This window comes from Homo sapiens, chromosome 16 (genome assembly GCF_000001405.40).
Source record: "Homo sapiens chromosome 16, GRCh38.p14 Primary Assembly".
Taxonomy (NCBI): Eukaryota; Metazoa; Chordata; class Mammalia; order Primates; family Hominidae; genus Homo; species Homo sapiens.
In genome coordinates, this window is record NC_000016.10 from 85,664,283 (window position 1) to 85,689,307 (window position 25,025).

Sequence of the window (25,025 nt, forward strand, 5' to 3'; positions counted from 1 at the left end):
CCCCTGGCCTCCTCTCTGGGAGAAAGTCGAAGGAAAGCAGAGTTACTTCTTGGACCTTGAGCAGCTTCAAGGTGTTGATCAGGGTGTAGCCGTTTACTTTCTCCTTTTAACCAGTCAGTAGTTTTCCCTTTCTCTTAGCGGGCTAGTGACGTGTTGATTGCCAGCCCAGTTCCCTAGATACAAAGCATCTTTTTCCCTGAATTTTTGGAGGAAAAAAAATTAAGGGCGATGCAGCCCTTGAGTTTCACAGTCAAGAAGGGCCGGGTGACATCAGGGATCTGCTGCGTGGAACATCGTGGGGTCATCTTTCCCCTTCAGGAAGTGGCAGTAATGGTAGGAGTGGGGGAGAAGGCACCCTGCCTCAGAGGCCAGGCCTGGGTCTTTGGGGTGTTTCTTTGTGTTGGGGCCACCTTGTCTGACTTGAAATAAGAATACATCCTCGCACGTCACCACCGAGGTCCGTGGGCACAGTGATTCACAGAGGCGTCGTCACCGCACGGACAGCTGTCTTTGGAGCACGTCTAGGACATTGTGTAGTGGATGCCGAGAGCAATCTGGGCTCGCTTTGAGATGGTTGCTTCCTTTCAACTGGGCCTGCCCCATCACACCTGCTTTTGGTTTTTCGGGCTTTAGTGCTTTGCCTGCCCCTCAAGGCTCGGCTAGAATCCCGCTGTCCTTCTCTCCAAAAAATGATGCAACTGGCTCGTTAATCTCAGGCTGCTTTTCTCATAGACAAAGAGAGACTTGTTGAAATGCTCCGTGCCATGAAGCAGAAGGCACTGTCAGCAGCAGTGGCCGACTCCTTGACAAACTCTCCGAGGGACAGTCCTGCCGTCTCCCTGAGTGGTAAGGGAAGGATAGCCCCACCTGCCACCACCCAGGACCATCCCATGGGCTGCCCAGGCTCAGAGGCGACCACTCGAGGTCTTCATCATTGTGAATGTGGCCTCCTGCAGGCTGTCTTCTTCCATTCTTGTACCAGCGTACGATTCTTGCACAGTTGTGACAGTCATTGGGACGGAACGTCAGTTTGAAGGCGGGCTCAGAGTTGAGGGGAGGGTCTGGCTTCTGTGGAGCTCTACGTGCTGGTCACTATGGTCGTAGTAACCGTTGTCCTTCAGTTACGGCACAGAGGCTCACATGGAGGCCAATCCAATGGTACCATCCCAGGAGGGAGGGCGTGCTCCAGCCTTAGTGCCCGCAGCCTGGTCCTGCCACTAGCCTAGCCGCCCTGGCTCTCTTCCTGCTCTTTGTCTTCCTCACTCTGCCCTCTGGGCCCTGCCGGCACCTGCCGCCACACCTTTCCTCCTCTTACAGTTCTGGCTGGCCTCTGCCCTGTCAGATGTCAGAGGGAATCTTTACAGTGCGTCCCAGTCCTCGGCCCCTCACACACTCTCTTGTCCGGTTGGACTGAATACCTCCATGCTGCCTCCGTGGCTGGGGGACTTCCTTCTTCCTGTGGATCTGCTTCTTCCTTCTTGGGACATCTTTCAAGGATGGACTTGCCACTAAACACCCCACTGTCTTCAGAGAATAGCCATGTGCGCGGCGGTTACTTAAATGTTCCCCGGGTCTTGGTTCTTTGCGCTAGGTCTTTGTTAAGTGTAAGCTCTAGAGACCAGGATCTGCGTGCTGGACACTCAGCCTGTTAACTTGCATTTCTTAATATTTTCCTTCACTTTGTCTCTAAAAGAACCAGCCACGCAGCAAGCCTCTCTGGATGTGGAGAAGCCGGTTGGTGTTGCTGCTTCCTTGTCTGACATCCCAAAGGCCGCGGAGCCTGGGAAGCTGGAACAGGTCCGGCCCCAGGAGCTGTCGAGAGTCCAGGAGCTAGCTCCTGCCAGCGGGGAGAAGGCCAGGCTGAGCGAGGCCCCTGGAGGCAAAAAGAGTCTGAGCATGCTTCACTATATCCGGGGCGCTGCACCCAAGGACATTCCTGTGCCGCTGTCCCACAGCACCAATGGGAAGAGCAAGCCGTGGGAGCCCTTTGTGGCAGAAGAGTTTGCACATCAGTTCCACGAGTCAGTGCTGCAGTCCACCCAGAAGGCCCTGCAGAAGCATAAAGGTAATGAGGCTGCCAGTCCCTGCTCAGCTCTCGGCTGTGGTTGAGGCTGACCAAAGTTGCTGAGCGCCACAGCTGCTCAGCCGTTCAGCCGTGGGCACAAGTTTTTATAAACTCCAATCACCAGAAGAAAATAATTTCGTTATTATGCCAAAACCATGTTTGTTTGTTTATCTCCAAGCTCTAAAACCTGAACTCGTAGGTGAGAAACGTTTGTAGGCACCAGCGCTGACGCTGTGCTGTGAGCAGGGACGCATCGATCGGTAAGAGGTAAAGGAGTGAACGCCGACAGGCATTGGTTTTTGCAGAGATTAAAAGATTCCCCAAAGGCAGGAAGAGCACTTGAGTGGATTTTTACCCGCATTCATTTGAAAGAATCATGTTTTTCAAGACAGAGATGCAGATGGCCGCCAGTCCTCAGGGTAGAGCTTCCCTTCCTTCATGGTGGTATCTAAAGATGTCACCACCAGCCCTCTGGATCCGTGGGTTCCGCGTCTTTGGATTCAACCAGCTTCAGATTAGAAATATTTGTGGGTGGGGTGGAATTCCACCAAGTTCCAAAAACAAAACTTGAATTTGCCAAGCACCAGGTACTACATTGAATCCATGCAAATCAAGTCAAGTGTAGGCATTGTGTTAGGTATTACAAGTACTCTAGAGGTGTGCATAGGTGATACGCAGATACTATGCCACTTTATATCAGGGACTTGAACATCCCTGGCTTTTGGTATTCACAGGAGGTTCTGGAGCCAGTTCTCCATGACAGATACCAAGGGAGACTATACAGTGCTACTGAGATGCCTTTCGAAACTTCAGAATACCCTCCCTCCCTGCCCTTTGGCAGTGCACCTTGTAGAGGCTTTTCTGTGGCCCTAGGACACTTTCTGCCTTATTCTGACCTTGTCCTGGCCTTACACTAAACTGTTTCCTCTAGATTTTAGTCACTCTGCCATACCAGTTTGAGCCAAGTCACTCCATTGACTGGGCTGGTCTCAGGCCCCACCAGGGGCTGCCATCCCCACGGGAGGCCAGGTGTGCTCCTGAGGATGTCACCCACCAGGCCACGCCATGAGACAGGGCATGCCCTCTTGAAACGGGGCACAATGAGGCTGATTCCTGGGGGAGGGCAGAGCCCCATTATGCCTAGGGATCAAAACAGCCACGCCTTGTGAGAGGATGGGCTGGTGTCTGCTGAGGGCTGACTATAGACCAAGCTCAAAGAGATGGAGGCAGCCGGGCGCAGTGGCTCACGCTTGTAATTCCAGCACTTTAGGAGGCCAAGGCGGGCAGATCACCTGAGGTCCGGAGTTTGAAACCAGCCTGGGCCAACATGGCGAAACCCTGTTTCTACTAAAAATGCAAAAATTAGCTGGGCATGGTGGCACATGCGTGTAATTCCAGCCACTCCGGAGGCTGAGGCAGGAGAATTGCTTGAACCTGGGAGGGGAAGTTGCAGTGAGCCGAGATCACGCCATTTCTCTCCAGCCTGCTACCCAGAGGACTGAGGGCAGCCAAAACAAAAAATGGAGTCTCAGAGATGAATTCCAACAAAAATGGTCCACGTACCAGAATCAACTAGCACTCAGGGCTGCGTTGTCTCCTGGCTGTCTCGGACTTTCTCAAGTGGCCCAGAGGCCTTGGGCTAGGTCCCTCCTCTCTACGCGATGTCATCTTGGTCCCCGGAGCCCTGCAGTCATGTTGACTCTGCACCAAGGGCAGAGCAGAGCTCCCTTCTGAGACAGCACCCTGTGTCCCTTCCCCCAACACACTGATGCAAGCCCTGTCCCCTCCACAGGGAGCGTGGCTGTGCTGTCTGCAGAGCAGAACCACAAGGTTGACACGTCCGTCCACTACAACATTCCTGAGCTGCAGTCCTCCAGCCGCGCCCCTCCACCCCAGCACAATGGGCAGCAGGAGCCCCCCACTGCAAGGAAGGGCCCCCCAACCCAGGAGTTGGACCGGGACTCGGAGGAGGAGGAAGAGGAGGATGATGAAGATGGAGAAGATGAGGAGGAAGTCCCCAAGCGCAAGTGGCAAGGGATCGAGGCCGTTTTTGAAGCTTACCAGGAACACATAGAAGGTAAGGGGGTGCTGGGGAAGAGGGGGGAGGGGGTCAGGAAAGTACCTTTGGAAAGGAAGCTGAGTGATGAGTTCATGCAGACCTCTGCCAGCCTGGGGACTGTTTCTCCGTCCTGGGGCACAGTAGATATGAATACTGGAAGTTTCTTCCGGCTTCTGGTAGCGGTGATGTCCCATGCTGGAACCTGAGGCCAGTCTTGCTAGGGCATCCAAGTACCATGATGCCAGCTCTGGTGGCACCTGTCATTCTTTATGTGGGCCCTGCTCTGTGGGCTGCATCAGTGCTGATGTCGGCCTCAGCTTCGTGTAAGGGTCCTGGGAGACAACCTAGTTGGTTGATTTGCTGAGCCCTGGCAGCTAGGCCTGGTCACTGCTCCAGCATGCCTCTTGCCTAGTGACAGACTCCCCACACTGCAAGGATTGCTCTGTGGCCGGTGGGTGCCAGTCATGTTTTCAGCTGCCTTTACTTTAGCCAAGCACTTTGCCTAAAAAGACAGGCTCCTGGTAAAGGCTTAGTCGAAGGCTTGCCGCCTCTCAGAATACCCAGGATGTTTTGATCCCACCTGGGAATGCACACACCAACCCTCCTGGGAAGCCACAGCACCAGGCGGACTCAGGCCACATCTCCCCTGCCAGGGAGTGGGGCCACGAAGTTGGGCGTTGCAGCATTTGATGCTCCTGTATACTGCACACCACCTTCTGCCTCTGTGCCTCAGTTTCCCTAGGATATTGCACAGGCCCCTTTGGGGAACAGCAGAGGTACCCAGCCTTCATTTTGCACTCACCATCCTTACTGCGTGGGCACTGCTGGGTATGCGCTTTGACAAAAGCTGGGCTGGGCCACAGCCACCTGTAATTGATTTAACATGTCCTAGAGGACTCTTTATCATCACATATGACAGTGTTGTAAATATCATCAAACACAAAGACTTGATTATGAATGTCAGCCACTTCAAATACTTAGAAAAGTAGTTTTTTTCTTTTTTCTCCTGGTAGAACTCAGTCAGGAAAAGTATTCTCCAAACTAAAAACAAACGCCCATGTAGCCACAACCAGGACATCAAATCCCGTATTTTGTTTCCTTTCCTCCTCCCGTGGAATCTTTGAGTTTATTGCGCACCACCCCCTACATGTTGCCATTCTTTTAGTGCACTCGTATATATCCAGAAGCAATACACAGTGATTTTTAACTCTCCTAGATGAAATATTTCCATCTTTGCTGGTTTTGTAGGTTTTTTGGTGTGGTGTTGGGAATTATTTCCATACCCCATGGCTGTCAGGCTATTCTTCTGTATTTTCTTCTGTGAGTTTGGCTTTTTCCTGTTCTGCGTAGGATTCATGTGTGTGTACAGAGTAAGGCAGAAATCTTAACTGTACCTTTCCCACCCAACCAGTTGTCCTGGCAATGTGTGGGGTGCCCTCTTCCCTGCCTCACTCCCACACCTGCTGGGCCTGGCTTCGCCCCTGTCAGGCATGACCTGCGCTGACCCCCTCTTCTCTCAGCTACCGCTCAGCTGTTTTTAGCCCATGGCTTTCCCCCAAGGACTTTTCCCCTAAGGATTTTAGGATCGCCTTATATTCACCCCAAAGAGTCCTGTTAGATTTTCAGTTGCATTGAATTTACAGGCGTGGTTGGCATCCTTTTCCATGAATATGGTACAAAACTATTACATCATTTTTGGACGTGAAGTTTTGACTAGATTTAGTTTCAGGTATCACATAGATTTTGGGGGTCTTTGGATTTTTGTGTTGCCTGTGATTATTCCTTAGATCAGAGGAATCACAGATGATCAAACCTGCAAATACAAGGTTTGGTTCTTTCCTTTTGAATTTGTCTGATTGTCTTGTCACTCCAGTGCTGCCAAAGAGAGGCACTGGTGGGGCCCTTGTCTGTGAAACTTTAAAGCATCCCATTAAAGAGTGAAGGTTCCCATTTCCGGAGTTTTTCATCCTTTGATTTTTTTTTTCTTGATGTTGCTCCATCCTTGTTGAATTTGTTAGTACTTTTAGGATTTTTAATGTATGTTCGTTAGTATTAGACTCTAGTTTTATTGTACTTTGGTATCCAGATTGTGAGCACTTTCCCTGTTTTTCATTTGCTGAAACACTGTGTATAAGGTAGGGATTTGTCCTGAAAGATGTGAAGTCACTCTCCTGTTGAAACTAGGCCTGGTATCTTTTGGTAGAGCAGAGGCTTTATTTTATTAATTAAATCTGTGCTTTAGGTGTACTCTGGCCTTTTTCCAGCAGCCTAAACTGAAAGCCTATTTTTTTTTTTTTGAAAGCTGCATTTTAAGGCCATCAAATTTCTTCCTAATCTGTATCAAATTGCCTTTAGGTCCTGGATCCTTTGTCTTTATTCCTGTGTATTGGGCTTAATTTAGTGACGTTTATGTATTTATCGGTACAATTCAAAGGGCTGGGAGCATTGTGGTCCACAGGAGAGGCCTTCGCTGGCTGCACTGGAGAGAGGTTTTGGGCTCTGCTGGGCAGGGTGTGAAGAGGAGAGCACAAAGCGGGCCTTCGGGCTCCTGCATACGGAAAATACATCACCATCTCCTGTCTTTTCAGAGCAAAATCTGGAGCGGCAGGTGTTACAGACACAATGTAGACGACTGGAGGCCCGGCACTACAGCCTCAGCCTGACGGCAGAGCAGCTCTCCCACAGCGTGGCGGTGAGTTGGGAAGGGATGGAAACCTTCAAACACGCAACCTTTTGAGTTTGGGTTCAGAAACACCCATGCAGATAAGTTTCAGAGAGGAAATGTGCTCTTAAGAGATCAAAATTTGGCGGATCACGAGGTCAGGAGATCGAGACCATCCCGGCTAAAACGGTGAAACCCTGTCTCTACTAAAAATACAAAAAATTAGCCGGGCGTAGTGGCGGGCGCCTGTAGTCCCAGCTACTTGGGAGGCTGAGGCAGGAGAATGGCGTGAACCCGGGAGGCGGAGCTTGCAGTGAGCCGAGATTGCGCCACTGCACTCCAGCCTGGGCGACAGAGCGAGACTCCGTCTCAAAAAAAAAAAAAAAAAAGATCAAAATTTGGACTGCATGCAATGGCTTACACCTGTAATCCCAGCACTTTGGGAGGCTGAGGCAGGATCACATGAGCCCAGGAGTTCAAGGCTGCAGTGAGCTCTGACCACACCAGTGCACTCCAGCCTGGTTGACAGAGCAAGACCACTGTCTCCTGAAGGGGTAAATTCAGACACCAGTTGATTATCTAGGATTTACTTATAGAATATCGATCCTGGAAGGGTAGGGATGCTGTTTGTAGAATGAATTATTGCCTGTATCAGTCTCCTCTACCGTGATTTGCTGAGGAGAGCAGCAGGGTTTTATTAGAGAAGGGAAGCTGAAGCAACTGAAACCATCTCACGTGGCTCACAGCCACACTAGCAGGATTGGTTCAGCAGATGTCCTTGGGGGGCAGGGATGGGAAGCAGGTCTCAGATCACTCCCAAAGTTTTTACATCTGGGGGTTCCAAGAACTCCGAGTTTGAGCCAAGACAGCAGCAGATGCCGATTCTTAAGACTCTGGAAGAGCCAGGGACAGAACACAGGCTGAGAAGTGGACTTTGTTTCTCTTTTTGAGGCGAAGTCTCACTCTGTCACCCAAGCTGGAATGCAGTGGCGCAGTCTCGGCTCACTGCAACCTCCGCCTCCTGGGTTCAAGCGATTCTCCTGCCTCAGCCTCCCGAGTAGCTAGGATTACAGGTATACGACACCATGCCTGGCTAATTTTTTTGTTTAGTAGATGGGGTTTCCCCATGTTGGCCAGGCTGGTCTCGAACTCCTGACGACAGGTGATCTGCCCGCCTCGACCTCCAAAAGTGCTGGGATTACAGGCGTGAGCCACCACGCCCGGCCGGGACATTTTCAAATGTAGGTTTACCCTTCCATCCAGCATGTTTGTACTCTACATGCTTGTCCTTACAGAGGAAACGGGTTGGTTTTGACACAAATTTCCCTCTCTCCAGGAGTTGAGGAGCCAGAAACAGAAGATGGTCTCAGAAAGGGAGCGGCTCCAGGCAGAACTGGACCACTTACGAAAGTGCCTTGCCTTGCCTGCAATGCACTGGCCTAGGGGCTACCTGAAGGGATATCCCAGGTGACGGTTTCCCTTGCACTAGGCCGAACCTATAGTATAGAAATATTATCTATTTTATTACCTTGAATATTTAATATTTTTCACTGGGAGGTTTGAAGCTTACAAAATGAGAATGTGCCATGCATGAAGCAAAGGATTCCAGGCTCCAGAAAAAATGAATGAACTCACCTTGACGTCAATGCAATTGAATCACCGTTGTCATTCAGCGAGCAACCAATGTAGGATTGCCCACAGTTTTTCTTTTTAAAGGTGGTTTTCGCCCTTCCTCTCCCACATTATTTCTTAATCTGAACATGAAGGCTCCATTAGCAACACTAAAACTTGATCATTAACAGCCCCCTGTGCATATGAGTGGATCAAACCGGTTCTGTTCTTTCTTGTGTTGCCATGTTACTATGCCTCAAGCCCAGTTTGCTTTTGCCGCAGCGATGGGGCCAGTCTCATTCCTCCCCAGGAGTGAAACTTGCTTCAGCTGAAAAGGTTGGGTGCATTGTCAGTAAAAAGGGCTTATTTGTTTCATTTTACTTTCCTGCAAAATTTTCTTCAAAGCAACAAGTCCTAGGAGCACACAAAGCAACCCAAAGGCTTTTCCCTGGAAAAGCTCTTTCTTACCTAAAGATAAAACCAATTCACAAACTGAAGGTAGCTTTTTATTACTCCGTGGGGAGCATGTACAGAGCTCTGTGTATACACAGCTTCACACCCACCAGATTGTTACTACAGTGGGTTGGGTTTTCATACAGACGTAAATTTTGAGAGAAAAGTCAAAGGTGCTTCAGCCTTGTACTGTGTATATATATTAAAAAAAAAACAAAGTTTTGTATGTTTTTATTACTTTAACTATTGTTATAAAAAGCCTGCCATTTTTAATATGTGGTTTGGGGGATTTTTGTTTGTTTTTCCTGTTTGGGGGTTTTGTTTGTTGTTTTGGTTTTTTTTGGGCAAAAAAAAAAAAAAAACCTTGCTTTTAGTGTTTGTACTGCTGCTGGTCAGGACATTAAAATATTGAAGTGTTTTTAAAAATTAAAGAAGAAGAAAAGTAAAAGAGCTTACCACTGGCGCCTATGCGATCACTTCATTTTTAGTTTGAGTTGCACCAGAAGCTGCCGTAGAAAGCCATGCGCTACTGCTTACCTCCTCCACTCCCCCTGCCTGCCCCCAGCATCTGGACAAGCTAATAGCAAATATTACCCATTGCTATCAAGGGAGGAGGGGGTAGTCTGTAGAACCCATGTGTGACAGTCATGTGCACACATGGGCGGGGGCTTTTAAAAACCTTTCAGGAAGTCAATGATTTCTGTGATTGATATAATTCTAAGGTGTCTGAGAGCAGGTACAGAATAGGAACTTCAGAGGCTTTGTTTAAACGCAAAGCTTTGTAAAAGCCACAAGGTCTGAGCTGAACCCCTCCTTTTTGAACTTACTGTGACAAGCACAGGAACGGTCAGAAACTGGGCTCATCACACCAAGGCAAAGCAACGGGCGAGTCTTCCTCCTTGTCCTAGTTACTGCCTATGGAGGCAGTGTTTAGATCAAGAAGGCCTCTCTTGCTCCCAAGGGCCCTCACCAGAGGCCAGGGCTGCCAGTCACTGGTCTGGGGGGTGGAGGCCTGAGCTGAGGGCAGGGTGCCTGACCTGTGTGCCGGCTGCTCACTGCTGTGACCAGCAGCCGAGCCCTTGGCCCTAGCCCTTGCTGCGCAGAACAGCTTGCTGGCAGCTGGCATCGTGTCGCTTTATCTGCCCCCGCACAGTTTGCTTTGTACGTCTGCCAAGAATCTTCCAGTTATTAGCAAACTCAGACGAATGTACCGCCAGTATTATCAGCAGTCAACAAGCACCTTCCTCTCCACAGAAGCAGCTGGAAGAGAACTCGAGGGGCTGTGCTGCAGGCCTCCCCTCGAAAGACACTGGGAGGTCAGCATGTTCCACAGGTGTTCAGAGGGAGTCTGCTACAAACTATCAGGGCAAAATCTCACTGGATTTCTCCACTGAAAACCTACTTGAGGTTTCTGGTCTGAAGGCTTAAGAGTCACATCTTAGCACTTCCGCTCTCAGGCCTCCTCCTCCATCACAGATGTCTGGATGCTTTTGGAAATGGCCTTGGCTAAAGTAAAAGGGAAAAGTAGATCCGATAACTTAAAAACGTAGCTCATCCCTTACCATCCAAGGGGCACTCCCTTGGTTGGATTTTCTATGACAGCACAGGGGACAGGTGGCACACCATGAGAGGTCTGCCCAGGGTGGGAGCAGTGTCACTGTGCTAGCAATAGTTGGCTTCTCCCCTGTCAGTGGAAACCCCACTTCTGCCCGGCCCTTGAGCTTCTTGCCCACTGTCTCCCCATCCTTCCACCTACTTGTGGCGATCTGAGTACTCTACTCTTGCTCAAGAAGTAATACGACAATCAGAATACAAACCAGTAAGGCAACACGAATAAACTAAGAAAAAGGTAAGAACTGTCTCAAAAACGAAAGCACACCACCCAAGACACAGTACCCAGTCATGGTTTCCCCATCCAACTATTAGTTTCATACTTTGAAAACTTACTTTCAGATTATTCTCAAAGAACACAGTAGCACCTAAATCTGTTTTCAATTGGGCTTAAAAATTGACATGCAATCTCTTAAGTTTTTTGTTCAGCTACTTCACACTGAGTACCTCAAATCTGCTCTGGAGTCGATTATGCCACCTGTGTGTCAGGATGCACCTGAAAGCCCTCGGCTCGGTCCTTAGACCATCTTCCTACATTACCTGGAAGGGAGCTGCCATCTGTCCCTCTGCAGAGGGATACCTTCCAATAGTAAATTATCTGGTTCCTCACTGAAACAAGTTATTTTTGCTTCATATAGTCAGAGTCAGACTGACATGATAAAATATCATGTTCCTAATCTGTTGTCTCAGATAAGTGACCAAGACGGGACTTTCCACATTTTAGTCTACATTCTAATCTTAAAGGAATAAAGCACTGAATTGGGACTAACATTCTGATAGGTTGCACCCTTAAGAGTATTCAGAGAGCATCAAAAGGAGCCCACACCTTCAGCAGTGAAGGATTCTAACACAGGGAATCTGCAGTTTGTAGCAGAATGGTATTTTCCTCAAGTAGCTCATAATACTGCCAAATCTCAAAAGTTAAGCTGAATTTCACACCAGATCCTACCCCTTTCCCTGAGCCACATGTTTCACACAAGTGTAGAAAATGCCAGGGATCCACCACAAGATGGAGATGGTCAGCACAAACCGATTCTGTTCCTCTTTAAAGTGTATATTAGCCACTTAGCAATCTCTATATTCTTTCAAGTAACCAAGCTGTTGACTTTCTTACTACTTGCAGTAGCCTGTCCCCAACTTTTCCATCCAGTGCTTAACCTAAAAAACTCCTTAACTCTGCCTTGACCTGAGGAAGACCATGCTAACTGGTGTTATTTTGTATGTACCCTGTGCTTAATTCTATAACAGTAAACCCCATACGCAGGTGGGAGGGAGGAACACCGGTGCCTCGGTCACTCTGGGGGCAGTTTAGATGCTGTGAAATTAAACCTGTTCTAAGTGTACTTGTTTGAATTAATTGTATTGTAATATTATTTGTTGAATGTAGTAATTAGGTATTTATGAATATATTGCTGTAATTTCTGACAACATCCAAAAAATAAAATCTTCCTAAATTATGTTAAGAGGAAAATCTTTTTTATGATATAAAACAAAGCCAAACAAAGAAAAGCTCAATAACTATACATCTCCGCAGACGGAGCTGCCTCCACTGGCTCAGGCTCTAAGAGGAGGGCATTAGGACCCCTTGCCCTCCACAATAACAAGTGGTTTCATTCTAAAAGATCCCCAGATGAAAGCAGGAGGATTCCAAGGAAGGCTGAGATGAAAGAACAAGTCCTATGAGCTGAACCAAGTCTGAACAGCACCTTAAATTATGGAGACCTCATCTTTTGGTCCCAGTCTTCCAGGTCTGACCCTTCAGTGTCCAAATAACCACCAAAACCTGCCTGGCGGGGACACGTGGGCAGCAACATGGAGTGATAGTGTGCAGCATGCTAGACACTGGAGGGCAGATGCTGGGTGATAAGTCTTTAGGCTCAGCCTGTCACACATGCGCATTCTCAGAGCTCCCCAGACAGCACCCCACTGCTTTTGGCCCACTGGTGTCCAGCCAAAAATAGGCTGGCCAGGCATGGCGGCTCATGCTTGCAATCCCAGTGCTTTGGGAGGCTGTGGTGGGAGAACTGTGTGAACCCAGGAGTTCGAGGCTGCAGTGAGCTATAATCACGCCACTCTACTGCAGCCTGGATGACAGAACGAGACCCTGTCTAAAAAAAAAGTTAAAATTTTTTTTGTTTGAGACAGAGTCTTGCTCTCGTTGCCCAGGCAGGAGTACAGTGGTGCAATCTTGGCTCACTACAACCTCCGCCTCTCGGGTTCAAGCGATTCTCCTGCCTCAGCCTCCCGAGTAGCTGCGACTATAGGCGTGTGCCACCACACCTGGCAAATTTTTTTTTTTTTGTATTTTTAATAGAGACGGGGTTTCACCATGTTAGCCAGGATAGTCTCAATCTCCTGGCCTTGTGATCCACCTGCCTTGGCCTCCCAAAGTGCTGGGATTACATGCATGAGCCAAGCCAATGTGCCCGGCCAAAAATTAAAGTTTTTTTTAAAGCTGATTACAGAACCTTCTATCCATTGCATGATGCTGGACGATCATTTCACCTCTCAAGGTAATGTAATTTCTGTAAAGGTCCTAACATTTCCAAAATGCTACGAATAAAGTAATTTTCTCTTAGGAAAAAAATAATTTCCCCTGAGCCCACTGTTACCTACAACAAAGAATCCTTCCCCAAATCCATCAAGAGCAGCACTGAAAGTGACTTTTCTTCTAGCATTGTCACTCATGCTCAATACATTGTCACTCATGCTCAATACATTGGATTCGTTTTTTTCCTGACTCTCCTCTTGATAAGCAACCCATTAAACCTGAGCTAGAAGTAGCCAAGAGAAGGAGACACCCCAGGTGTTGGTCTGCAGTTTCCACTTAACTGCCGTGTGCCTCAGTTTCGTTGACTGAGTCATCTCAGCCACAGGCTCAGTCCTTTTACTTGGTAGTTACGCAGCACAAAAACCTAGAGAGTCAGAGCTGAGTTGGGTCCATTTTTATTGTGGATCAGGGCTTAGAGGATAAGCACCGGTCAGCATTGTTGGCTGCACCATCTGCCATCCTTCTCTGTGAGCCACCTCTGTGAGAGAGTCTAAATTCAGCCCAAGAAATCAGGATCAAGAAGGGGTAAAAAGCCGTGGACCACATGGCCACTCCTGCTGTATCTACACCTACCAGTCACTGAACACCTGCCCAAGTGTGATGGCTTCCATGCAGGAGACCCAAGTGGCTCTGCTAGGGAGAATGACTTATTTACCTAAGGCTTTTTTATTTCTCAAAAGTGGGGGGAAAAAGGGCTGGTTTCTAGAAACAGATGTGGAATTGAAGAATGTCCCAGGGAGCTAAGTTTTAAGGACTAATCACAAACTTGTTTCTCCAACAACATCCTGAATCCATTCCTTGCACCATCACACATTTTTCATGCATCAGAAGTGTTTCTAGAGCTCCAGAACCACGAGTACCTCATCACGTCCTGAGCGCTCACATCCCCCAGCAAGCCGCCTGCACCAGGCCTTTCTCTAGAAGTCCTGAGACTGAGTACTCTCCAGAGGCTGGAGGTTCGTGCGGAGTTTGTACATGTGGTTGAGCGCTTGTGTGAGGAAAGTCCCGCTGGTGTTGATCTCCATCAAGGTCAAGTTATCCAGCTAAAGCAAGAAAACAGACCAAGTTGGCCAAGGAGTTTTTGATTTTGAGAAAAAGGTAAACTCTACTGAATAAAAATAAGAAACCAATGAACTGTTGAAAAGCACAGCTAGTAATGCCTGCCTGTAATAGCCTCAGCAGACGGGAGCCATGTGAAATTATGCGGCATCAAGGCCACCAGCACCCAGGCAAGGCGGCACCTACCTTGGCATGTGCCTCCTGCTGTCTCACAAAGCTGTCAGCAGACACTCGGAGTTTGGCTATACGAGTGTCCCACATATCCTTGACCAGGGTCCGGATTTCGTCTGCCTTCGGGATGTTGTCTGAAGCACTAAAGGAGCAAGGGCTAAAGTCAGTCGGGGAACACTTGATAACCTGAGGCAATGCTGGATAGAGTGGCTCTTTTCAGGCAAAATACCGTGGCTATTCCAGACTCAGAAAGTCTGTTTTGCTTTATTTTCAACTTTAGGGTGTAAAGATTTGTAGCAGTTAAGCTTGGTGCGGCAGTGATCCACATGGAGTTTCTTTTGCTCACATTAACTATCCCATGGCAGGCTGCTGAACAGGACTGCTGTTTACCTAAGAAAATTAGTAGAGAATCAGCTCTAAGTCAGAAGCCTCTGTCTCAGGATAACAGCATTCCGTGCTGCCTAACCTCCATCTACAAGGAATCAGTTTCGAGGGCTGGCTCAAAGGTCGAGTTCTATTGCTCCTCATTTACAGAGTGTTGAGCAGATCTCCCTATTCCCCACCAGGAATCCAGGGCTCACAGCCTAGAGAAGGAAAACGCCAACTCCATGCCAGGTACTGGGCTCAGCACTTTACCTGGCATTTCTATCCTCACAAAAGCCCTGAAGGGAAGGGACTCTCCTGCTCTTCAGAGAAGACAAAAACAAGTTTCAAAAATCACAGAAGAAACTGCAAATTAGTATACAGTGAGCACACCTACACATAGCAAAATTCTGGCTAGAAGCTCAAAGCCAGCAAGGGATGAAGGAAGGCTTTCACAAAGTCGAGGCTCCCGTTGTGAAGTATTTTAAACTAACCTTTGAAGAAAAACTACACGATAAAAGCAGAAGCAAATATTGTTCGTCACTAGGCATTACAGGTTACGCTAGACATTCTCTCCATATGCTACAATTAATTCCTGATGAGTAAGTGGCAAACCACTGGTACAAAATTTATGTAGTGAGTTTTATTTATAAACCCAAACATTTAGATCTTGTGCTCTCAACAGCAGGTTAAAGGACAAAGGACCCCAACTCCTCGTCAGCTGAACTATAGAACAAACGTAAAATTAAGTCCCTTAACCGAATGAATTATAAAACAAGGTTTTTGATAAAAACTACATCCATAATATATTGAACTTCAAAAACAAAAAATGGATAGGCCCCCTCACCTAGCTAATGCCAAATTCTTACCTAGCCTGTTTATAGATCCTCTCCCTTCCAGCTACCATCCCCACCACCACTACAGTCTCTCTCAGGTCCCTCTGAGGCCACATGCCCCTCCCAGGGGCTGGCCACTGCAGCAGAACCTATGCCTCCATTCCTCTGCTCCCATGAATGTACTACACATCCTCAAATATCTCTGCTTGCCCGGCTACACCAGGTCCTTCACACTCTGCCTGAGCATATCAGTTCCTGCCTCACTGCCCTCTCCCCTACCGTCCACCTCCTACAAGTCTGCACTCCCAGCAAACCTCTGTGAGCCCTCTCTGGCACCACCTGGCCTTACTGCGCTCTGATGGACTGTCAAGAGCATTGGTCACACTGAAGATTCACTATAGGCTCCCAGGCCCACATCTCTCCCGCACCACACCAGGAAGCAGGCCTATGGGACAAACGCCACTGCCGAGTGGAATGCTTGGTGCATTGCTGCTTCTCAGCTTTTTATGAAATTCATGGGCTGACTGCAGCCTCATCTCAGCCTAAGCACAAGCCCATGTTGTGTCCCCAACTTTTCCTTTAAATTCAGCAGCGCCATTCAGTGGGCTCCCAGCCCTTCCTGCTGCTCTGCAGCATGCAGTAGTACTAGTGTCACAATTTTTTATTCTAGTTCTGCTCTTGAACCCAGTTAAAGGATACCCGGGGAGCTTCAGAAGCTTGAAATTGTACAAATGACATTCTAAGTATCTCCCAAGCAAAATTATCCACCCTTGTCTGCCTTCTTCACTAGTTTCACTTTCACTCAACAAACATGAGCCGCAGGCATCTCACTGGGGACATATGCATACGAGACCCAGCCCCTGCCCATTTAGAATGGGTACATGTGATGGCACAGCCAGGCAAACAAGAAAATTACAACTGGCAAATGCCATAGCAATGTGTAGAGCTGCCAAGAGTACATGTGTGCTGAACCCAGAAGAGACATGTTATGCTAACCAGCAGAGGTGAGCAGGGGCAGGGAAAGGACAGACTTACAGGGCAGAGAACAGTATATGCAAAGTCAGAATGCTTGAAGAAGTGACAGGGGCCAGTGTGAGCCTGAGCCCTCCAGAAGCAGAGAAAAGAGCTGTAGAGAGGGTGAAAGAGGGAGGAGGAGCACGCACTAGGCTGTACACTGCTTGAACACCACGCTCAGGTAGACGAGAGGGAAGACAGGATTTTAAGCAGGGAGTCACATGGCAGTTCTGCCTTTCAAAGGCCCCTCTGGCTGAGATGTGAAGAATGAATGGAAAGCTGAGCGGAGCCAGTATGGATGAAGGCAAACAAGCTACGGAGTTACTACAGCATGATTTTGCCAGGAAGTGGGCTTTCCTGTAACCCAAGGACAGAGGCAAATGTAAGCCCTCTGGCCTTTCCTGCGAAAGACACAAAAAAACTCAAATCCACCTACTCCAAGGAGAAACAGGAGTAAAGCTGTGCTAAATAAAACACATACATGGCAAAGAATGGCTACTGCCGATTCTGTGAGATGCTGGTGGCTCACACTGGGGTCCAATGTCGAGTGATGTGAGGCAGAACAAAAAGAGCCAAGGGCTTCACCGGGAAGTGGAGAAAAGGAAAAATGAGAGACAGAGAAAGGCAAAGAACAGACAGAAAGACACACAGAGACAGACAGAGTGCACCTGGCAGGTGTGTGTACACAGATGACCTCATGGTCACTGACCTGAGAAACAGGGCGGCCAGTGTTGCCACTTACTGAGGCAATAAGCAGGGAAGCGGAGAGGAAGGACGAGGGTTAGGGGAAGGGCATGGCGAGTCCAGTCTTGGGTGTGGCCTCTAAGAGGTGAGATCTACTTACTGATTTAACAGGAGCTTCGTAAGTTCCATGTAGTAAGGGCTGGGCATTGGGGTAAAAGTTTCTTCCTTTCGTTCATGATCCCTCATCTTCTCCAACTTTTCTGAAATTTAGAAGTTAATACATTTTACCATCATTATAACCAAGATATTTATTAAACCTTCCAAATTTACCAAGTGCCTATATTATCTGGCAAATACATTATCAACTAGCAAATACATGAAAAAACATTTTGGGATGACATTTGTATCATTATCTAGATGATTTGAGGCCTCCTCCTTGAAACTTTCTCTCCAAAAGAAAGGTAAATTTTTGTCGCTGCTTTAGCCTGCAGAAGATATTCCTAAAAACAATGTTAGAGTCAAAAGTTTGATGTTTGTTGTGTTTTGCTTTTGTTTTTTTTCTTTTTTAGGGAAACAGCAAAGTGATTTACCTTTACCGCCTTTTTTTTTTTTTTTTTTTTTTTTTTTGAGAGGGTCTCTCTCATGCCCAGACTGGAGTGCAGTGGCACCATCACAGCTCACTGCAGCTTCAACCTCCTGGGCTCAAGCAATCCTCCCGCCTCAGCCTCCCAAGGAGTAGCTGAGATCACAGGCACATGCCACCATTTATTTTTTGTAGAGACAAGGTCTCACTATGTTGCCCAGGCTGGTCTCAAACTCCTGTGCTCAAGTGATCGCCCTGCCTCAGCTTCTCGAAGTGCTGGGATTATAGGAGTGAGTCACCTGGTCAGTATTAGACCTTTGATGCAATAAGTGATCAAACTAGTCAGTGACTTAAATTTATTTATACTAAGCCTTGTTCAGAAGGGAGCAAGACAACTTACAAAACTAGAGCCACCCCAGCCTGGGCGCGATACAATATCCTAGGGGGGTTAAGCCACCCCAGCCTGGGCGTGATACAATATCCTAGGGGCTAAGCCACCCCAGCCTGGGCGTGATACAATATCCTAGGGGGGTTAAGCCACCCTGGCCTGGGCGCGATACAATATCCTAGGGGTTAAGCCACCCCAGCCTGGGCACGATACAATATCCTAGAGGGCTAAGCCACCCCAGCCGGGAGGAGGCATGACATCCTAGAGGGGTGAAAGCCCAGCGTCTAGAATCAAACAGCTGTATCCAATTCCACCAGCATCAGCACTGTTCTCACACATGCTCCAGCTCCCTCAGCCCTCCCCCTCTACAGAGAAACCTGTCCTGGGAGCAGACTGTGTACTATAGCTAAGGGACAAGCACGGAGCACAGCTACGCTGCAGGGTCCCATTGTAAACGGCCAACTACCCATCCCCAGGGCCCTTGGTGCCGTCCTGCAATCCTGGCCCAATTCCTTGGTCTACTCACCCTCTCTTCACTGCCGCCAGCACCGCCTCAACCCACCACCCACCTCTCACCTGACACCCAGCTGAGTGTGACCCACACACCACCCCATCCCCCAAACTCCCTGTGTAGCTCCTACCCACTCGAGGACCAGCCTTCCAGGTGTCCTGGACCCTCCTCTCACCTGCACAGTAAGGCACTCCAGCAGCTCTCATGCTCTTAAATGATCACTGTCCCCTCCTTGCTTGATCCTCCCAAACACACTAATAGATATAGCCTTAAAAAGAAGGCCCTCCGTGAACACCCCTCTGAGCTTGCTTATGAACTCACTAGGCTCCCCTTTTTGTCTCCTGGCAATTCCTCCTGACCTCTCGACACTGGGACAAAGAGCTCAGCTCCCAACCCCTTTCTTCACTACCTAAACTCATATCCACACCACCTCGTCCAAATGCTACCCACATGCTCAGAAAGACCTCCAAATTTATACCCCCATCAGCCCCTGAGCTCTAACTCCTAACTCAATAACCTCATTGCTGCTGTAACTTCCTCCTGGATATCCAGAAAGCACAACAGTTCAAACCCCCAACTCCTGATACCCACTGCAGCCCACAGCCTGCTCCTGCAGCCTCCCACCTCAGGAGACAGCAACTCCCTCTCCTGGGCCTCCAGCCAAGAGCCTGGCTGTCAGCTTTCACTCTTCTCCCTCACACCCCATGGCCAGTCCTTCAGCCAATCCTGCTGCTGCTTCCTTCAAAACACACCTAGACACCTACCACATCTCCCACCTCCATCAGCCAGAGGCCACTCTCAGTGCTTGCCTGGATTCATTCCCTGCTCCTATTGCACCAACCTTCTCTACACAGCAGAGTGATCCTTTCATTAACATCTGAATCAGCTTATGAAACACCTCTGGTCCAACTTTCTAGCAAATAAAAAAGCTACAGTCAAAATTTTTGGCCAGGACATGGAACAATGGGAACTCATATTTCTTGTAGGATAAAGGCTCAGCTGCTTTGAAGGACCAGGTGGCCGTTTCTTACAAAGTTAAGCATTATCCCTGAGATCCAGCAAGTCCATCATTCTAGGTATTTATTTACCCAAGGGAAAAAGAAACATATCCATGAAAAGACGTGGACAAGAATATTCACAAAAGCCTTATTAAGAATAGCCAAAAATGAGCCAGGCACAGTGGCTCACACTTGTAATCCCAGCACTTTGGGAGACCGAGGTGGAAGCCCCGGAGTTCAAAACCAGTCTGAGCAACAAAGTGAAACCCTGTCTCTATAAAAATTAGCTGAATGTGATGGTATACACCTGTATTCCCAGTTACTCAAGAAGCAGAAGTGGGAGGATCGCTTGAGCCCAGGAGGTGGAGGTTGCAGTGAGCCATGATCACGCCACTGCACTCCAGCCTGGACATCAGAGCGAGAGACTGTCTCAAAAGCCAAAAATGAGCTGGGCACATTGATGCACACCTGTAGTCCCAGCTACTAGGGAGGCTGAGATGGGAGGATCACTCGAGCCCAGGAGTTGGAGGCTGCAATTCACTATGATCACACCTTTGAATAACCACTGCAATTCAGCCTGGGCAACAGAGAAATCCCTGTCTCTAAATTTTTTGTTAAAGCCAAAAAGGGGAATCCCAAATATCTACCAACAGAAGAATCGGTGAACAAATATGTAGTATGGAGAGTACCCAGCAATGAAAGAACATAGCCAGGTGGTGTGAATATGAGTTTCAGTAGTGGAGAAAGGGGTTGGGAGCTGAGCTCTGTGTCCCGGTGTTGAGAACGTAAACAGGTAAATCTCAAAAACAGTGTTGGATAAGAGAAATCAGAAACAAAAAATGACATACTAGATTATTCCATTTACATGAAGTCCCAGAACAGGCAGAACTGGATTTGTTTTCCTGAGATGGAGTCTCGCTGTATCTCCCAGGCTGGAGTACAGTGGCGCGATCTCAGCTCACTGCAACTTCCACCTCCTGGATTCAAGCAATTCTCCCTGCCTCAGCCTCCCAAGTAGCTGGGATTACAGGCGCCCACCAAACACCCAGCTAATTTTTGTATTTTTTAGTAGAGACAGGGTTTCACCATGTTGGCCAGGCTGGTCTTGAACTCCTGACCTCAGGTGATCCACCCATCTCGGCCTCCCAAAGTGCTGGGATTACAGGCATGAGCCACCGCGCCTGGCCCAGAACAGGCAGAACTTATCTGTGGTGCAGAAGTCAGGAGGCAGCAGGCTGTTGGGTAGGGTCTATAGACAGGTTAATGGTGCCTCACTGTTCCCACAATATGGCTCCAGCCCAGGTAAAAAGTTCAAGGGGAACTCTCCACACCTTCTGACTCTAGCCTGCGATAAAACAGGCCCTTGCCATGTTATCACCTGGGGTCTAGATGGGACAAAAGTGCCAGACACTGATTTTAAACAAGGGGCCTGGAGAGGATGCTGCATTAATGGAGCCAGGCCTGGTGAGCCTCTCCTCTACAAAAGCCTTCCGGCCAGGGGCAACAGCTCACATCTGTAATCCCAGCACTCTGAGAGGATCACTGGAGCCCAGAAGTTTGACACCAGCCTGGGCAACATAGCAAGACCCCCATCTCCACTAAAAAAAAAAAATCAAAAAATTAGTCAGGCATGATGGTGCACACCTGTAGTCTCAGCTACTCCGGAAGCTGAAGCAGGAGGATGACTTGAGGCTGGGAAGTCAAGGCTGCAGTGAGCTATGATTGCATCACTATAGCCCAGCCTGGGTGACAGAGCAAGACCCTTTCTCAAAAAAAAAAAAAAAAAAAAACCGTCTCAAAGCAGAGGAACTGGGGTTTCCCATTATGTTTCAGGACTACCTGAGTCACTTGCCACTTTAGGACAGGGAGCAAGGGGAAGACACTAAGCAGTCTGTCTTAAACGGACCCCAGAGTGGCTGGCTCAATGAGCTCTTGCTTCTAGGAGGTAGGTACCCCCAATAAGTCCCAGTAAGGAGGGGGCAGTCAAAATCACTCACGGCTGAGACCCCATCTCCATAAAAAGAAAAAAAAAAAATCACTCAGGGTCTTTTCAAATTCTATATGTATGACCATACCCCTCTCCTCACCAACACACACAAAAAAATTAAGATTTTTTTTCCCTATAATAAGCTACTCATATCTCCAAGAGAAGAAAAAGATTTCAAAGGCTCAGAATAAAGCCTGTCTGCATCTTTGATTTGTTTCAGTTTTTTCTAGCAGCTTTATTGAAGCATAATTAATATATCATACAATTCAGCCATTTAAAGTATACAAGTTTTGAGGTGGGTGGATCACGAGGTCAGGAGATTGAGACCAACCTGGCTAACACGGTGAAACCCAGTCTCTACTAAAAATACAAAAACAAAATTAGCCGAGCGTGGTAGCGGGCGCCTGTAGTCCCAGCTACTTGGGAGGCTGACGCGGGAGAATGGTGTGAACCCAGGAGGTGGAGCTTGCAGTGAGCCGAGATCGCACCACTGCACTCCAGCCTGGGCGACAGAGCGAGACTCTGTCTCAAAAAAAAAAAAAAAGTATACAAGTTTTAGTAGCACTTGTGGGCTATTAAAAACAAAGTGTACAAGTCAATGGTGTTTAGTATATTCAGACTTGGGCAACCATTACCTCCATCAATCCCAATTTTCATCATGCCAAAAAGAAACTCCACAATCCCTCCATCACCCAAAGCAAGACCCCCATACTTAAGCAACTACTAATCTACATTGTCTCTATTGATTTGCCTATTCTAGACAGTTGATAGAAATGGAATGATACAGTGTGCGGCCTTTTGTGCCTGGTTTCTTTCATTCAGCAAGATCTTTAAGATGTTTCAGGTTCATCCACGCAGTAGCATGTATCAGAATTCCATTCCTTTTTATAGCTGAATAATATTCAACCTTATTGTGATATATTATTTTCATGCATTCTCTATAACTGCTTCTCAACATGCTAATCTATACTTATTTTTAAAATTTTAAAACAAATGCTTATTTAAGGTCATATATTTATTTTAAAGCAAATTGAAATATCTTACATTAAAATATAGGCTGGGCACAGTGGCTCACGCCTATAATCCCAGCAGATCTGCCAAGGTGGCCAGATCGCTTGACCCCAGGAGTTTGAGACCAGCCTGGGCAGCATGGCAAGACCCCATCTCTACAAAAACGCAAAAATTTGCAGGGTGTGGTGGCGCACGCCAGTGGTCCCAGCTACTTGGGAGGCTGAGGCAGGAGGATCACTTGAACCCAGGAGGTGAAGGCTGCATTGAGCCGAGATTGCACCACTGCTCTCCAGCCTGGGTGATGGAGTCAGACCCGTCTCAAAAAACAAACTACAACTTTCACACACACCAAAACCTAACATGACATTACTAACAGTGGTTAGCAGACTCTGCTGAGAGGTGAATCTGGAAGTATTCCTTTCAGCTGATCAGTAGATAACGGAACAGAGGGAGCACGGACCTAGTCAGGAAGGAGGCCCCATGCCTCCACCCCGTGGGAGAGGGCGTCACCCCAAGCCCAGCCCCACCCACGCATCAACCAGTCTCCACCACATCCTTACCTACATCCATCCACTCTGGAGGGAGCAGGCGACATTTCTGTCTTTGTTTCAGGTTAATCGCCAGCCACAGGGGCACTTCCACGGGTAAACCAGGGTTAAAAGGCCCCAGGTCCCCCTGCCAAAAGTAAAACAATTCCCCGTAAGATTGAAAAAGAACAAAAAAAGCATTACTGTGCGTTACTGCTATCAAATAAGAGGCAAGGCATTGCAGAGGCTGAAGTCCAAATGCAAATAATAAAAACCCAACTGTTACCAGACTCAGAACAAAGCGCCTCCTGAGCGGCTCCGAGACACCTGCGAGCGTGGGGCTCAGTCCTTCTGGCCTTTCCGCGGACAGGATGCAAGTCTCCCCTGAGTGGGTGGGGGGCGCTCCCTCTCCCGCCTGCACCCTCCAACTCCGGAACAGGTTTCACACACCCAATGTTGGGGTCCTGGGGTGCGGGGAGGTGGGTCTGGGCAGGTACAGAGCCTGCCCTCCTTCTCCAGGACTCCCAGCGCCGAGGCGCCTCCCTCATACTGAAAACGCAAAGCCGGGCGGGCGCGGGGGCTCACAATCCAGCTACTCGGGAGGCTGAGGCAGGAGAATCACCTGAACCCGGGAGGCGGAGGCCGCAGTGAGCCGAGATCGCGCCACTGCATTCCCGCCCGGGCGATAGAGCGAAACTCCATCTCAAAGATAAAGACAAAAACAAACAGAGGCAAAGCCGACTTTTGCCCATAATCCCAGCCCTTTGGGAGGCCGACGTGGGAGGATCGCCTGGGGAGCCCAGGAGTTCGAGGCCAGCCGCATCTCTACCAAATAAATAAGCCGGGCGCAGTGGCTCCCGCCTGTCATCCCAGCACTTTGGGAGGCCGAGGCGAGTGGCTCATGAGGTCAGGAGTTCGAGACCAGCCTGGCCAACACGGTGAAACCACATCTCTACCAAAAATACAAAAATGCGCCGGGCGTGGTGGCGGGCACCTGTAACAGCAGCTACTCAGGAGGCTGAGGCAGGAGAATCGCTTGAACCCGGGAGGCGGAGGCTGCAGTGAGCCGAGACGGCACCACTGCACTCCAGCCTGGGCGACAGAGTGACACTCCACCTCAAAAACCAAAAAACAAACCAAAAAAGCCCCCAAACAGATCAAAAAAACCCTGTAAACCCGGGCGTTCGGGGCACTGGCAAAGAGCGCAGTCTCGCTTTCCTCATCCGAGAAGCGGGAACGGCGGTGAGCGAGTCAAGCGCCGAGTGGTGGCCTCCGCAGATGCGGGAGCAGGGCGAGCCCGCGACCCCGGGGCTGAAGGCCACGCGGGAGCCCCGGACGCGCCCAGCCCGGCCTCCCCTCCCCACGGCGGGCCCAGGCCTCACCCCGATGAGGTAGATCTTGTCCAGACTGAAGTTGGGGATAATGGTAACCAGCTCCTTCTCGGCGAGGAATTCGACCTCGGCAGCGTCCATGGCGGCGCGAGCTGCAGGCCAGAGCCTCACGGTCTCCTCGGGCCCCTCAGCGTCCCGGAGGAGACGCCGCGGCCGCCGTTTTCCCGCCACGGCGAGAGCCCGCCCCGGCCGGAAGACGGCCTGCGCCAGCCTATAGGAAGGCGGTAGACAGCCTATAGGCGCTGTCTGCGGGCGGGGGGGCGGAGACCGCGCTCGCGAAGAGCCCGCGGATTGGCAAGGCCGAGGGAGGCTGCGCGCCGGCCCCGCCCCGGCCCGCGGACAGGCCCCGCCCCCACCCCGGCCCCGCCCCGCCCGTGGGCGTGCACCTGGCGCTGTCAGGATCTCCTGCCGCGGGCGCCAGCTTTGGTGTCCCTTCACCTGTCCCCGGCGCCCGCCGCAAACGGCCCTAATCAAGAGCCGGGGGTGGGGT

The 25,025-nt window shown here is 49.2% G+C and overlaps 2 protein-coding genes across 30 annotated transcripts in view, besides 4 other annotated features; one reads left to right on the top strand and one right to left on the bottom strand.

The window, feature by feature from the left end:
- Window positions 1–11,918, top strand: part of GSE1 (Gse1 coiled-coil protein) — a 506,689-nt gene extending 494,771 nt beyond the window's left edge. For 24 of the 29 annotated variants that reach the window (XM_005255859.6, XM_005255861.6, XM_011522965.4 and 21 more), the window contains 5 exons: window positions 733–846; window positions 1,694–2,065; window positions 3,858–4,142; window positions 6,713–6,816; window positions 8,123–11,918. In XM_005255859.6, the coding sequence (XP_005255916.3) occupies window positions 733–846; window positions 1,694–2,065; window positions 3,858–4,142; window positions 6,713–6,816; window positions 8,123–8,257 (1,010 nt within the window). In that variant the 3' untranslated portion in view covers window positions 8,258–11,918. The remainder of the gene's footprint in view (window positions 1–732; window positions 847–1,693; window positions 2,066–3,857; window positions 4,143–6,712; window positions 6,817–8,122) is intronic. The other 5 variants (XM_005255860.4, XM_047433827.1, XM_047433832.1 and 2 more) reach the window with 1 other exon arrangement.
- Window positions 6,810–6,983: a silencer, noted in NCBI's record as "fragment chr16:85704698-85704871 (GRCh37/hg19 assembly coordinates)". NCBI's record gives its function as "represses an EF-1alpha promoter that drives an FKBP-Casp9 reporter gene in an ReSE screen in K562 erythroleukemia cells {active_cell/tissue: K562}" and the evidence as "EXISTENCE:reporter gene assay evidence [ECO:0000049][PMID:32094911]".
- GINS2 (GINS complex subunit 2) lies at window positions 11,916–24,672 on the bottom strand. The gene is made up of 5 exons (NM_016095.3): window positions 24,527–24,672; window positions 23,178–23,292; window positions 17,300–17,399; window positions 14,258–14,384; window positions 11,916–14,055 (listed from the first exon to the last, which is right to left on the bottom strand). The coding sequence occupies exons 1-5, from the start codon at window positions 24,614–24,616 to the stop codon at window positions 13,930–13,932; spliced, it is 558 nt and encodes a 185-aa protein (NP_057179.1). The 5' UTR covers window positions 24,617–24,672; the 3' UTR covers window positions 11,916–13,929.
- Window positions 23,481–24,014: an enhancer, noted in NCBI's record as "H3K27ac-H3K4me1 hESC enhancer chr16:85721369-85721902 (GRCh37/hg19 assembly coordinates)". NCBI's record gives its function as "activates a minimal SCP1, AML or CMV promoter by ChIP-STARR-seq in naive H9 embryonic stem cells {active_cell/tissue: H9 hESC(naive)}" and the evidence as "EXISTENCE:reporter gene assay evidence [ECO:0000049][PMID:30033119]".
- Window positions 24,358–24,487: a silencer, noted in NCBI's record as "silent region_7817". NCBI's record gives its function as "represses an Ori minimal core promoter by ATAC-STARR-seq in GM12878 lymphoblastoid cells {active_cell/tissue: GM12878}" and the evidence as "EXISTENCE:reporter gene assay evidence [ECO:0000049][PMID:35858748]".
- Window positions 24,778–24,987: a silencer, noted in NCBI's record as "silent region_7818". NCBI's record gives its function as "represses an Ori minimal core promoter by ATAC-STARR-seq in GM12878 lymphoblastoid cells {active_cell/tissue: GM12878}" and the evidence as "EXISTENCE:reporter gene assay evidence [ECO:0000049][PMID:35858748]".